Source organism: Homo sapiens, chromosome 10 (assembly GCF_000001405.40).
Source record: "Homo sapiens chromosome 10, GRCh38.p14 Primary Assembly".
NCBI lineage: Eukaryota > Metazoa > Chordata > Mammalia > Primates > Hominidae > Homo > Homo sapiens.
The window spans coordinates 104,166,457-104,182,073 of NC_000010.11; the positions used below are offsets into that span (position 1 = coordinate 104,166,457).

General features: G+C 39.1%; 1 protein-coding gene across 1 annotated transcript in view; it reads right to left on the minus strand.

Annotated features, from left to right (window-relative positions):
• CFAP43 (cilia and flagella associated protein 43) overlaps positions 1–15,617 on the minus strand; it is a 102,477-nt gene that overhangs the window by 36,569 nt on the left and 50,291 nt on the right. The window contains exons 18-23 of the mRNA NM_025145.7: positions 13,384–13,476; positions 12,573–12,650; positions 5,954–6,079; positions 2,288–2,392; positions 1,165–1,281; positions 32–262 (exon numbers count right to left, since the gene is read on the minus strand). Of these exons, the coding sequence (NP_079421.5) occupies positions 32–262; positions 1,165–1,281; positions 2,288–2,392; positions 5,954–6,079; positions 12,573–12,650; positions 13,384–13,476 (750 nt within the window). The remainder of the gene's footprint in view (positions 1–31; positions 263–1,164; positions 1,282–2,287; positions 2,393–5,953; positions 6,080–12,572; positions 12,651–13,383; positions 13,477–15,617) is intronic.

Genomic DNA, 15,617 nt, shown 5'->3' on the forward strand with positions numbered 1-15,617 from the left:
ATTTTTCAGGATAAAAAGAAAATTGACCCACTTTCAATAATATAATTTGGTTGATTTTCTCTTCTCTGGAATGAAGCTCCAATTGGCTTGACAATAAAGAGGTATCTACCCCAAAATCAGTACTCAGACTACCAAGCAGGTAATTGGGCAAATTGCTATATTTTACTGTCTTGTCTTCCTCTTCCTCTTCTTCATCATCCTCTTCATGACGCTGTTTAATCAACTTAACTCCAGACTGAGCCTCTACAATTTCCTTCCGTAGCTACATGTAGAAAAAGATGACACAGAAGTTATGCAATAATAAGAATCCTCTAAAGGGAAATTTTGTGACAACTTAATTATTTCAACAATCATTTTAATTTGTTGAATTGTCTTGCCAACAACTGAATTCGAAGTGATGAATAGATCCCAGAACTGCTGCAGAAGAGATTAAGGCTTCAGAAACTGATAAATGATAGATAAATCAAAGGAATAAAAATTGTCCTGGATGGTGTGTAATATTTATATCTTTCTGTCAGTATGACATCTGCTTGTAAATATTTTGAGTCTTTTTTGGTACTTAAGTATTAAGAAATATATATTCTCTTTATATTTTACAAAGAAACCTGTTAACAAAGGATCAGTGGGTGAAGGTTAACACGAATTAAGCATGCCTTCTTTTTGTTTCAGAAAAAGAGTGGGTGCAAAGTTCTGACCAAAACAAAACTACACTGAAGGGCAGTGTTTTTTTAGTGGTTTGACAGAGATTATTGCTTAAAAAGTTGGGATTTAGGAAAACCATAATTCCATCAAAACAAATTCTACTTCATCCTTGATCAATTATCTTAAAATACAATCCCTAGTGACAAGGGAGGATGAAAAGGATATGTGTGGATGAAGACAACCTCTGTGCAGGATAAGAGCAGAACACCAAATCTCACTTTTTAAGGTATATCCTCATATTTGAGGGCTAGCCAGTGTTGTATAGGATACAGGCTCCTTGATTTATTGTGTGGATATAGGCTCCTATAGTTATTAGAATATATTCTACAAATTAACAAGAAATAAAAATATAAATACATACAATACCTAAACTTAAATTACATCCCAACTCAAACCTGAACAAAGGAGACTCTAAAATAAAGCACATCACTTATATAAACACATGTATATTTAAAATAGTACTTTAAGACACTCTGCTTCAATCTTCTTTTGCTGTAAAACTCTTTCCAATTCTTTCAGCTCTTCAACCGTGCGCGCTTTCATCGGGAAGTTTTCAACCACACAGGGGATATGAAAACACTTGGGGAAAAAAACGCAAGACAAAATAAATCCATTTGTAGTATAATTGTGTGTATCTGGGGTTGAGTAGGGGATGTTTTCTGTGATTAAAATTAACCCATAGGTTATCATGTGTTAGTAAAATTGACAATGGAAACCTTTTTAAAAATAAAACAATGTATTCCATGAGTATTGGTATAAACTTTATATAAAATACTGTGCTTTTGTGAAGGGCTGATTTTTAGGTCAGTAGTTCTCAACTAGGAGCAATTTTTCTCCTCCCTTCTCTCCCTATCCTTTGCCCCCAAGACATTTGGCAACTTTTTTTTATTGTAATTACTGGAGGCGAACAATGCTACTGTCTCCAAATAGAGGCCAGAGATGTTGCTACACACCCTACAGGGCATAGAACAGCCCCCACAACAAGAAATGATCCAGCCCAAAATGTATGGCTCATGAGGACCCTGTTTTAGAGCAATATCCATCACATAAAATGTAGGGTGGCCGTATACTTCATTGTCCACATTGGGAGCATATTTGAAAGTGAAAAGGATGCTGATAATAGTTACTCTGGGATTGCAGACAAGACCTGAGACTTTTGGTCACCCTACACAAAGAGGGAAATTACATTGGAGGGAATCTCAATGAGAAACAGCTCCTTAGAAAATGGGAAGGCAGGCACAGGCAGAAACATGAACCAGATTTCGTCTACCTTTCAATCTGTGTGAAATGTGAGTGAGCAGACAGCTATTAAGACCCAGATGCAGTGGGTGCCTGAGAGGAAAGGAGGAAAAGAATGCTAAGACAGATCTTCAGAAATGCTGGCTGGGAAGCACACGGGGACTGAGCACAGAGGGAAGGAACCAAGAGACAGGGACACATCCAGGTGAAATTCAGTATAGGAAGGGGCAAGCCATGCTCTCAGTGCTTTGCTATGCCTGAATTTTCTTAAATTTATTTTTAAAACTTTCCTGAGCTTTTGATGACAATTCTCATCAGGTTTTGTACCTAGGGTTCTATCTGTTACCTTAAGAGCTCGACCTTTCACAGCCATCGAATTCCAACATTCTTCTTTGATAAGTTCAGCCAAATAGCTCTTGGCTAAGTTATGCATCTCTACATCCTTTATCATCTTGAAGAACACAGACAAAGGGAAAAGATAAAAATGAAAGTGTGGACTCAGAAATAATAATCTCCATTGTAAACTCACTAAGTAGCCATTAACTGCACCTTCAGTGGTAGAGTTTGTCTTTCTCCAACACTTTGAGCCACCTTGCACTGAGATGCACTTTCGGGAAACACATCTCTGCCTTTGAGAACGTCTCCTGAAGTTTGTCTGTAGGCTTGGATTCTCTTCCTTGAGGACACACAGTACCTCTACCTCTAAGGATGGTCGGGTTGCATACACGAGTGAAGTGGGGTGTGAGGATGGATGCACTGTGGTGGTGAGCTGCGTAGCTAATGTGCACAAAGCCTGCTGGTTGGAACAGCAGGGAAGCAAAACCACTGAGCGAAGTCTTCCTGTTTTATTAGAGAGGTCTGGAATTCATATTTTTAAGTGAAACTGCCAGATATCTAAATGTTGGTTGAAATCTCGCCAACACACATTTGAAGTGCCAGTTTGTGACCTCTGTCTGGGAGTCTTTACTGTACTTAATTCTTCTATTATTTACATCCACAATAAAAAGAACCCTCTACTACTCTTGGGGATCATACAATCTGTGTTTTTTTCCACTTAAAAACATGTTACTTCAATTAGTTTTACTTGCTTACATAATCCTATTGCTTATTATTTAAATAATTAAGTATTCTTATTTTAATAGAGTTTTCTGAAAGGCCTGGTGTGAAAGTGAGATCTAACAATCTTTAGTCCTTAGGATCCTCTTCAGGACCTTTGTGCACTTCATTTTGTTGGCAGAATTATTAGCAAACTAGATAAGACTAATATCTCGCAGATTTAAAATGTCTTTTTTAGTACTTCTTGTGAATTTCTATTTATTTTATTGTCTGATTAAATGACTTTAATTTGCAATTCATTTCTTTTTGATTCTGATCCAGTGAGTTAATAGCTAATATAGTTTTAAATTATTTCTTTCTAAATAGACAGCTGGCTTGGCATATCAGTTGTCAGAGCCTGCCTGATTCCTAGCCCACTCGGCCCTCCTCTCTCCACTGCTGAGGCTGTTTGATCAACTCCTCCAAACTCAGTCCCTAATAATGTGTCCAGATTGTCATTATCGGGCTTTGGTCTTCTTCCTATCATTGGGATCCTGGCCGGGGTAGGGTAGTAGCCTAGTCTCTCATTCACATCCTTGACTGGCAGGTGCCACTAACTCCTCCCAAGGACTAGTATTCTGATCCTAAACATGCTGAAAGCTCCTAAACAGCTGAGTTTATGGTGCCATCTGCTAACACTGTTCTCTCCTGGGCCACTGTTGTACCTAATCTGGTGTTACTATCTCTTCAAAGGCACAGAGCTCAAGAAAAAAAAATAAACAATATGAGGGAAACTAGCATATGGAAGGCCTTTCTCTGCACCAAATCCTGCCTCAGAGGATCAAGGAGAACTCTTGAGGGATGAGCATGAATTTGGTAAGTGGCAAGGAGGGGCATCTGGGGCAGAGGCACAGGGTGGCGGTGGGGTAGGTAGGATGAGTTTGGCAATGGTAAATAGTTCAGTGGGCCAGGGGAGCAGGTTCACTGTGTCAAGTAGTTGTATACAGCTTGGAGAGAGAAGCAAAGATACAGTGAGGAAGCGGGCAGGCACTGAACCCACACACATTGCTGAGTGGTCAAGATGAGTGGGCTGGGAGAACTTGGTGCAGAATAGCAGGGGGCATTCCGAGCCTGAGCCAAACCAGAGCCAAGGAGGAAGAGTCAGGATCTTCCTGGCTCTGATCTTAGCCAAGTGACTCTAATTCTCTAAGCCTCTATCTAAGCCTCAGTTTTTTCAAGTGCGGCAAACTATCACCTGCCTCTTTTGATTGTGATGATCAAAATAAATAACATTTAAAAAGCTCCTAGATTGGTGCCTACCTCTTGTGATAAGAAAATGGGATTTTTTTTCATAGCTTCCTGTTGCACAGTTAATAAAAAAGCCAAATTCTTTACCGCAATATACAAGCTCGTCAGGGCTAGCCTCTGCCTACCTCCCCAACCTCATTCCATTAGGCTCTCTCCCATCCACGATGCTTCAGCCTTTCTGGTGTGCTGTTCCTGGAATACTCCAAGCCATTTCTGCCTGTGGGCCTTTGCTCTTGCTGCTCCCTGTGCTTGACATTCTCTTCCCTCAGATCTTTGCACAGCCAGATCTCTCTCTCCCTTTAGTTCTCAACTGAAATGTCAGCCCTTGAAGTGGTTTTCTTTGACCACAGAAGTAGATCTCCCACATCTATCACAGCATCCAGTTTGTTTCCATCATATACTATGTAGAGATTTGTTTACGGCCTGTCTTCTTCAATACATTAGCCCCATGACAGCAGAAATGTGTCTGTCTTCTTTATTCTATTCCCAGCACCTAGATTAATATGCCCAGCACATTAATAAATGTTGCAGAATGAATGAAGGAATGATTATCTCAGGTAAATTTTATTGTACTAAGTCAGTCTGTTGAGATACTCTTGTCCTAATTGTTATCCACTACATTTCCTCACCTTCTCAGTCTCATGTCATTCACTAATTTGACAAATCTCCTCATTTCTATATCTTCACCCCAGTCATTAATAAACATGTTTATCAGGACCAAGTCCTGGGGTACATGGTGGAAACCTCCCTCCTAGAGGCATCAGTCAAATAATCAACCTCCTCTTGGTGTAGTTGTTTAATCTATTATAATCCACCTTAACTGTCCTTGAATCCAGCTATCTTGCATTCTCCTGTGTTTTTATATTTGCACATTCAAAAAATTAACCTGTACTAGCAGGTTGAGAAAGAGGTAGCTTCAGAATATCCTGTGTAAAACACACTTAGGGCTTTTATTTAAAATAAAATCCATATGAGCAAACAATTTGATGTGACTGCCAGAAAATAATACAAAGGCTGAATTAATAGAAGTATAGTATGAATGGAGGTTTCAGTTTATGCTTTTCTCTACACTGGACAGAAAATAATTTGAATTCTTCTGTGGGTACCATATGCAAATATAATTAATCCAGAGGAAAACGGCATGATGATGACGAGGCTATTGAAACTATAATATATGATGGTCATAGGAGCTGGGATAATTAGCCCAGACAGGAGAAGATCCACAGGGAACATGGAAATTTCTAATCCTCTACCACTCTCAGAGGGGCCATAGAGTAGGAAGTGCTCAAAGAGTAGAAGGATCAGTGAGTACAGGAAGAAAGATTTCAACTCTAATTAAGAAAGGGCTTACTAAACCAGAAGCGTCCAAAGTTGGCATGAGGTGGCTGAGAAGACTTCCAACAATGTTCAAACGTATGGCTGGCACGAATGTCATGGAGGGGAAGCAAATGTCAGATGTCTGGCTGGCCTAGATGTTCTCCCTGCTCCTAACCCCCAAATTCGATGATCCTCTGATTCATTATACTTATATGCACTATGTTTGCTTTATTCACATTATACTGAAAAAGGTTTTGTCATATTCACATTATTATGAAAAAGTTCCCATTCCTATTATCTTTTTACTTCTTTCATCATAACTTTATGGTGCTTAAATTATACTTTTTCATACCTTTGCCACTTCTTCCTGACTTTCATCATGAAGCCTTTCTAGTTCCTCAAGATCCAGACCAAATTCCTGTTGGTCTAATTTTGCAATATTTTCTAGTTTGTCATTTTCTTCCATCATATTCAGAATCTGAATGTTGAAATAAAAAAGAGTGCTGACAAGTAAAGAATTAAACTGTAATAAGATAATTTTCTTAGTTTCTTTTAGGCAGCAATCAATAAAAAATAGATGTTCTATTTATCAAAATGTACTACTAAGTAAATAATTAGATTATGGGCTTATTGTGGTTATTGAAGTTTTAAGGTTTCATCCTTAAAAACTCTTTCATTTAATAAGGAAAACTACAAAAATATATAAGCTCATCATTTCATTCAATGATATTAAAGCACTGTTGCTAGTTTGAGGTACACTAACAGCATTGTGGTTATGTGTTTTAAGAGTCTTTATCATTTAGAGATACATACTGAAATAATTAAAGATGATATGATGTTTGGGATTTACTTCAAAATAATCAGGGGAGGGGTAATGGATGGAAGCATTGGTGAAATGATATTGGCCATTGGATGTATTATATTATTCTCTCCAATTTTGTATAAATTTGAACTTCTATACAATAAAAATTATCTTTAAAAGTTCATAACTTAAAAAAATTCAGGAGCAAAGGATACACACTACAACACATATGACAAAATATTAATGTCTTTAATATATAAAAAGCACTTACAAATAAAAACAAGGCAGACAAATGATAGAAAAAAATGGGACTTCAGTTTCAAAATGGTAGACTGAGAATGAGTTTAACAATTTTTCTTTTTTGCCCCAAAATATAAAGTTAAGAGAAAAGAAGTATATAGCATAGATAAACCCATTACTACAATGAAGAGGAAAAAAGGAATAGAATCCTTCAGGAGCATGAAAACTATAACAACTGAAAGACGGAAATCAGATGGATCAGCAGGATGCATCACAGCCCTGAATGCCCTCAGCACAGCACTCAACAACGAGTGGAAGCTACACCAGATACAGGAACAAGGGTTTACCTAAGAGTGCTGGCAGGTTGATTAGCTGGGGGTGCTGCATCAGAAACAGACAGTAGAACCTGCCTGTAACCCTACCTGGTGAAGTTCCCTAGGGTCCAGCAGTAGTAACTGGAGTGTTTGTCTCCAGGTAGAAGAAACTGGAATGAATATTTGGATGGGAGAAACAGGGCAAGGCCCAAGGAATCTGTTAGTGGCTAGAAAGAATAGAGAACCACCCCCACCACACAATGGGATGCCAAGACACTTCCCAACACCACCCACCCCTTCACTTTTTACTGAGAGCAGACAGAATACCTGCTAAAGTCAGATCTCCTACACTTCTTCCAAAGCAGACTGACCTGGTGTCATGGAACTATAACAGGGAGTTTCAATTATAAAGACAACCATGAAATAATAACAATAAATCACTAAATATTTGGGGAACAACAAGACCACTGGAGAGAGACAATAAATTCAACAAATAGAAGACTTGTTGCCCAAAAGAAAAGTTAATTGAGTGAGAAGGGTATAATTTTACAGTAACTAGGGATGCAAAATATTGTATTTCATAAAAAGAATCATAAGACTAGAAAAATAAATGAAGTATAAAGACTGATGAGAGAAATATGTTATTTTCAAAAGATATGATAGTCTACCTAGATAATCTAAGACAATCAAGTGACAAAATAGTAGAACTAAAAAGAATTCAACAAGGTGGTCAGAAAAAAATCAGTAACATTCACATATACCAATAATATATACCAATATATAACATATACCAATTGTATTAGTCTGTTTTCATGCAGCTGAAAAAGACATACCTGAGACTGGGCAATTTACAAAAGAAAGAGATTTAATGGGCTTACAGTTCCACATGGTTGGTGAAGCCTCACAATCATGGCAGAAAGTGAAAGGAAAGGCATGTCTCACATGGCAGCAGACAAGAGAAGAGAGCTTGTGCAGGGAAACTCCCCTTTTTAAAACTATCTGATTTCCTGAGACTTATTCACTACTGCAAGAATAGCATAAGAAAGACCCGCCCCCATGATTCAATTATCTCCCACCAGGTCCCTTCCACAACACATGGGAATTATGGGAGCTACAATTCAAGATGAGATTTGGGTGGGGACACAGCCAAACCATATCACCAATGCAATAGAAAAATATTCCATTCACAAAAACGGTATAAACTATAAGATACCTAAAATAAACCTAATAAGAAATTTAAAGTCACTTTCAGAGAAACTATAAACTTTCACTGGAGATTACCTTTTTAAAATTGAATAAAGATAAATAAATATATAATATACACATATGTAAGTATTATATATTTAATGAAAATATAACTGGCCGGGCGTGGTGGCCCACGCCTGTAATCCCAGCACTTTGGGAGGCCGAGGTGGGCGCATCATGAGGTCAGGAGATTGAGACCATCCTGGCTAACACCGTGAAACACCATCTCTACTAAAAATACAAAAAATCAGCTGGGCGAGGTGGCGGGCACCTGTAGTCCCAGCTACTCGGGAGGCTGAGGCAGGAGAATGGCGTGAACCTGGGAGGCAGAGCTTGCAGTGAGCCGAGATCATGCCAATGCACTCCAGCCTGGGCGACAGAGCGAGAGCGAGACTCCATCTAAAACAAACAAACAAACAAACAAACAAACAAAAAAAAACCAAAAAGAAAATATAACTTTAAAAGTTATATATTTTAAAAGAAATAAATATACAGGCCTGGTGCAGTGGCTCATGCCTGTAATCCCAGCACTTTGGGAGGCCAAGGCAGAAGGCTAGGAATTCAAGACCAGCCTGGGCATCATAGGGAGACCCTGTCTCTTCAAAAAAATACAAAAATTACTTGGGCGTGGTGGTGCATGTCTGCAGGCCTAGCTACTTGGAAGGATGAGGTGAGAGGAATGCTTGAGCCCAGGAGTTCAAGCCTGCAGTGAGCTACGCTTATGCCACTGCACTCTAGCCTGGGTTACTAAGCAAGATCCTGTCTCTAAATAAATAAATGAAAGATGTAAATATATAAATATACAGATGCTCCTCAACTTATGATGGGGTTATGGCCCAACAAACCCATGGTAAGATGAAAATATCATGTCAAAAGGGGCATTTGTAGACATGATGGGCTGTGAAAACATAAAACACGATATCCAAAAAATGCTGGCAACACAGTACACTTCAGAATATTCATTGTTTACCTTCGTGATTGCATGGCTGACTAGGAGCTGTGGCTTACTGCTGCTGCCCAACATTGTGAGAGAGTATGGTACCGCATATTGCTACTCTGGGAAAAGATCAAAATAAGCCTGCAGACATGTGCCACCACGCCCAAGTTTCTACTGAATGTGCGTTGCTTTTGCACCATCATAAGGTTGAAAAATTATAAGTTGAACCACTGTGAGTTGGGGACTGTCTGTATATATCTTAATTCAATTTAAAAAATATTCTTCAGTAAAGTTTTATCATACATACTTATATATATACTAAAGTTCAGAGCTGGCAGATAAATTCTTCTCCAAATCAAACTATAAGCAATATATTCTCAATCAAAATCAAATCAGAGTTTTTCATGGAGATTGACAAGCTGAATTTAAAATTCCAATGGAAAATTAAGTACACATAAAAAGGCCAATTTTTTTTAAAGAAGGGCAAAAGGAGAATTATTCTCAAGGTACAAGAACTATTATAAAGTGATAGTAATTAAAATAGCTTGGTATTGGCTCAAGAAAAATCAATATTCAATCTTAGAACAGAGTCCAGCAACAATCCTATATCCAGGGATTGATAGAGAAGACATTGCAAATCAGCAGAGAAAGGATAGTATATTAAATAAAACAGACTGGGGAAATGGGCTATTTATTTGAAAAAATAAAATTAGAACTATATGTCATACCATTCACAAAAATAAATTATAGATGAAATCAAAGAGCATTAGAAGAAAATATGTGTGACTTTGAAAGGTCATTTAAAATCAGAGGTAAAACCCAAAAGTTATAAAGAAAATGATCAATAACTTGGATCATGCCATAGTTTTAAAATTCTGCTTTATAATAAAATTATTTAAAATTTGGCACATTATAAAAGTTAAAAGAAAGTATTTAGAGTAGGATGAGCCATATACTTTTCTAGAAAATATTTGTAGGTTGAGCCACATAAAACAGCAATTGCATGAAGTTCCACCTAATAATAAGGGCTACCTTTAGATATGTCGCATTCACACTTCCACGCTCTTCTCCTTTCCAACTGACTCAAATGAGATCAAGCAAGGCAATCTTCGAAGCCCTGAGTTGAAGATAGCAGGGTCTCCAACAGTCTGGGTCTCTGAATGACTGCATGGAACAGAGCAGCTGCTGAGCTAAATACCCACCCAGGATGGTTACATGGGAATGAAATAACCTTCTCATCACTGTGCCACTATGTTTTTCTGAGTTTGTTACCATAGGCTAGCTAACTCTAATTATCATAAATACATATAAATAAAAAATAAAAATAAAGAACTCCTATAATCAACAAGAAAATGACCAATTATCCAATAAGGAAATAGGCAAAGAATATAAACAGGAAATTCACAAGAGAAGAAATACAAATAGTGTTTAGAGTTATGAAAAGGTGCTCAGCTTTATTAGTAATCAGGAAAATAAAAACAAAGGCCAAGGAAATGATTTAAGAACTTTTTCTAAAACCAAGAGACAAAGGTTTCCTATTAAAATGCCCATCGAAGTCTAGCACATGGAAGAAGAAAACACCTAGGGTCCTGGTAGGAAAAAGTAACACATTCAAATGGGAAAACTGAAGAGAGAAACTTAAAAAAAAAAGATTTGGCAGAGTAAGGAGAGCCAGCAACACATGATAAAGCATTAGGCTACCAACTGCGGGCTCGGGAAGCCATCTCTGCTCGTAGGTCTGAAGGGCAAAGGCTGGGAGTGGTTAATGAACCTGGAGAGACCCATAAATGTAGGAGAAGGATGGCGGTCATTGCCAACTCATAACCCTACAGGGAGGAAACTGGGAGAATGAGGACCCTGGTCTTAGTCTTCTGCCCTGCAATCTGAGCCCCAAGAGGCTGGCCTTCATGAATAGCAACAATGGGGTTCTCCTGCTGATGCTACTTATTGCCTAAACCCAAGAGAAAGCCAGAAGGCAAGAGAGTGCATTGCTACTGTCCATAAAGGCCAGCCTCTTGGGGCTCAAAGAAGAGTGGAAAAGGGAAGAGAGTCTTGGTTTGTACCAGCAAACCTAGAATACTCATCGAACATATCAAGGTGCATAACTGTAAATTTCCAAACACTATGGATAAAGAGAGGATTCTATAAGTCTCCAAAGATAAAAATCTGGTTACCTACAAAGAATTGGGAGTCAGGCACTGGATTCTCTAAAGGAAACACTGGAAGCCAGGAGACAATGGAGAAAGCCTTCAACATTCTGAAGGCAAACCATCAAATGGTTATGAATGTAGGATAATCACATTTTAAGAAAAACCACATCTCACAAAATGTACCTCTCATGTACCCTTTCTCAAGAACAGAGCCAAAGCATCTGACAGGTCTAGCAGCAGGGCATCATTCACAGTGGATTCCACTTGGATGGCACCCCAGAAGCACAGATTTTATAAAGGATGTTCCCAAGCATGGCACAACACAGCAGTCCTGCATAGGAAGCTACTGAAGAATACACACCAAGAAAACAAAGAAAATCACGTGGGACTCAGGAAACAGGAGCTCTGACTTAGAAGGCAGATCTCTAGGACGGCAGCCATACACCTGGTCTACAGAGCAAGAGCAAGGTGCTTTGACTGGAGCTGGAGGATGGAAAGCTCTAGAAGGGAGGTTGCCCAAAAAATGCACTCACAGATTGATCACTTCAGGTATTTGATTGTATTGAGAAGAATTTGTTAGCATTTTGAGTTTGAATAGGTCATAGAAGGGCTTACCCAAAACAAAGGCAACTATTAATTCTAAGAAAAATCAAGTTGTAAAAGCAGAAATGTAATAATAATATACCATGTGGCTCAGCATTGAAGAATATTCAAATAACTATCATAGTGTGTATTCCAAGCACGGATTTATATGTGTGCTATAGTGGGGATGGGGAGCAGTAACAAGCATAACTACTCATGTTCCATACCAGGACACCCATAGTTAGCATCAAAACAGAAATATCAAGAAATAACAACAGTATTAAGAAGACTATTTAGACAGAGGTAAACAGCCCAAATGAAAAAGTAGAAAGAAGAGAAAACAGTTACCTCAGGAGTACAGGAATCAGTCAAGAGAAGTAGGGCAGTTGCTGCTTAAAAAATATTATTTTTAACTACACAACTCAGTATTATTTAATCTGTAAAAATATAAATGCATAACTTTGATAAAAATCAGTATTATAAAGACAAATAAGATGGTAATTTGGGGGAAGATGGGGAAAACCGCTGTTGATATGGAGTGTGAATTGGAGAAATTTTATCTTGTTAAAGAACCTCAGAAAACTGAGCTTACAAGCAGAGAAAAGGGAGGTATAGTTCCTCAGGGTAGAACAAAATTAAGTTCAAAAAGTAATTTTAGAATGAGGGCCAAAGGTATTAGAATATGAAATTACAACACTTACAGTTTTGGAAAGTGATTTGATTCCTTGTTTTATCTCTTTCCTTTTCTTGGAAAACAGATTAACCTCCTTTTTGATGGCCTGAAACAGAACAAGTATATCACTTAACAAAGCAAGAGAAATATCAGACAGAGAGAGAGAGAGAGAGAGAGAGAGCAATTCTCTAGAAACAGAAACTAAAATTTGTAAAGACTAATATAAAGTGTACATGAAGTAATACCACTGCAGTACCTTGCTTAAATCTAACTGCTACTATGTAAGTGACATTAAAGCAACATGAAACTGATGTCAATTATATGGCCAATGGAAAGAAAATAATGAAGCAGTGAAAAATTAGTGAACAGTTGATTAAGGAAAACCAGTATGCACTTTTATCGGGAACTTGAGACTAGATCAATAGGCTAAATCCAGACACGAGCTGTAATCAGTCAGTCACCTTCCTGAATAGCTGCAGCCACAGCATCCCTTCCCCTGTTCCTGGTCCACAGGACAGAGGAAGACAAGCATCCCCTAAAACTCACTCCACGGTGGAGTACTGCAGTTCATCCTTTGCTGTGGCTTACCTGGACACCATTGTTGGGTTGCATGTCAGCCTACGTACAGTTCTTAAAGCTCATATAACTTGATCTAAATGATTGGGCTGTGTTTAGGGTGTTTATTTGCTTTCCGAAAAGTTACACCTGTATGTTGTAATGCTCTGCCAAGTGGTGTCTCATTCCATCTTCTAACTTTCCAGTAGGTTTCCATAGGAAACTAATCTATTTGGTGCATCTACAGAGCACTATTTCAAACCTACCCCATGTTTCACAAATACCTCTTGGCTTTTTTGTTGTATCCAAGGAATTTCCTTCTTAACATCGGTTAGAACTAATTCATCTTGTGATAAGTCAGTGCTTGCCTTCTGTTTCTGATACATGGTAGAAAAAGACAGACATGTCTTAAAGTTAAAATTCATCAAGTTTTTCCCCTCCCACCCTACCACATGTAACTGCTTTGAATTCCTTTGTATTTGTTGCATTTTTGAAAATAATCTCCAACATTTTGTCTGCCCAAGATGTAACATTTTATTCAGGTAAGTCCCACCAGTCTGCCCTTATAGTAGCCACAGCTTCCACTGAGGAAGCAGAGATGATCAGACCAGTCACACTGTCACCACTCTTTGCCTTCTTTGTTACTGTGACCCAAATGTTCCTGCCCATCAGGGCCTGTGCCACCATCTATGCTTAGGATCTTTTTTCTTCTTTTTGAAGTCTTAATACTTAACACAATTTTTTTTCAATGCCATCTCCTTCTGTATCATCAATTTCTCCCTTTTACAGGATCTTTCCCAACAGCATCCAAACATGCTCTACTATCTCCTGTCTTAGGAAAACTACTCTCACTTGACCATCACATTCTTCTTCAGACACCACCCTATTTCTTTTTTTTTTTTTTTTTTGAGACGGAGTCTTGCTCTGTCACCCAGGCTGGAGTGCAGTGGTATGATCTTGGCTCACTGCAACCTCCGCCTCCTGGGTTCATGCCATTCTCCTGCCTCAGCCTCCTGAGTAGCTGGGACTACAGGTGCGTGCCACCACACCTGGCTAATCTTTTGTATTTTTAGTAGAGACAGGGTTTCACCATGTTAGCCAGGATGGTCTTGATCTCCTAACCTCGTGATATGCCCACCTCGGCCTCCCAAAGTGCTGGGATTACAGGTGTGTGCCAACCACCGTCCCCGCCGGCCCACCACCCTGTTTCTATGCTCCCCTTTGCAGCAAAATGTCTTGAAAGAGTTTGGGATGCCATGTTCTCCTGGTTCTCCTGTAACCTCACTGGCTACCCCTCCTCAGGGTCCTCTGCATCCCTGAACTCTTCTCCTGCCTCTCCAGAAGTTGCTCTGTCCTGGTCCTCTTCTGCTTCTTGCCATTCATGCTTCCATGATGTCCTTACCTAGTGTTATGGCTTTAAATCCCATCCGCATGCCCTTGACTCAAATCAACATATCCAGTCCTGACCTCTCCCCAGAACCCAAGGTTCATCTATCCAATGGCTGAACTGGCATCTTCACGTGGATGTCTAACAGGCTTCTCGAGCTTAATGTGGGTAAAACTGATTTTGAATTCCCTTCTTTCTCTTCATAGCTGCCCCCTTCCCCCAGAGTCTGCCCCATCTCCATGAATGACACCATCTTCTACATAAATGTTCAAGTAAAACAATCTAGGAGTTCTTGGGCCCTTTCTTTTCCTCTCTCTCTATGTCCAATTCATCAGTGAGTTCTATCAACCCTACCTCTGAAACCCACCTGGAATCCACCACTTCTCTCCTTGGCACAAGACTCCTCCACCTCCATCATTGCTACCTGAACCTCTGCCTTAGCCTCCTGAGCAATGTCCCTGCTTCTGATCCTTCTTATCACCTACAGGAAACATTCTCCTCATAGCATCAAATAGTCATTTCAATAATGTCAACTATACCTTGTTAATCCTGTGTTCAGAACACCTGACTCAGTTCTCATTACATGTAAAATAAAATTCAAACTCTTTACCTAGTTTACAAAGCCCTTCGTTACCTGGTCTCCTCCCACTTTGAAGACCTCACCTCCCACCACTTTCTCCCTAGCTCGCTTCAACTGCACAGGTCTTTTTTAGGTCCTAACATACCACACGCCAAGCTCTTTCCCCCTTTGCCCTGAATACTCTTGCTACCCTCCCATTGTCTTTGCATGGTGGTGTTCTCTTTTAATTCAGATCTCAGCTTAAATGTCTGCTTGGAGAGGCTATCCAGCCCAATACTATCACATCAACCTATTTTTATTCACTGAATAGAACTTGTTACTATCTCATTGTTTCTTCTGCATTTGCTTGTTTATCTGTTTCTCCCTGCCCATCTCCAACCCCCAATTAGGATGTAAACTCCATGGAAGCAGAAATTTTTCTTTCTTGTTCATGGCTATATCCCCCACAGCCTAGCACTCTGTAGGCACTCTATAAATATTTGTTAATTGAATGAGTGAATACTGTTCTTTAGCTAGACACTTCCTAAATAATATCTGTAATATGAAAGTAT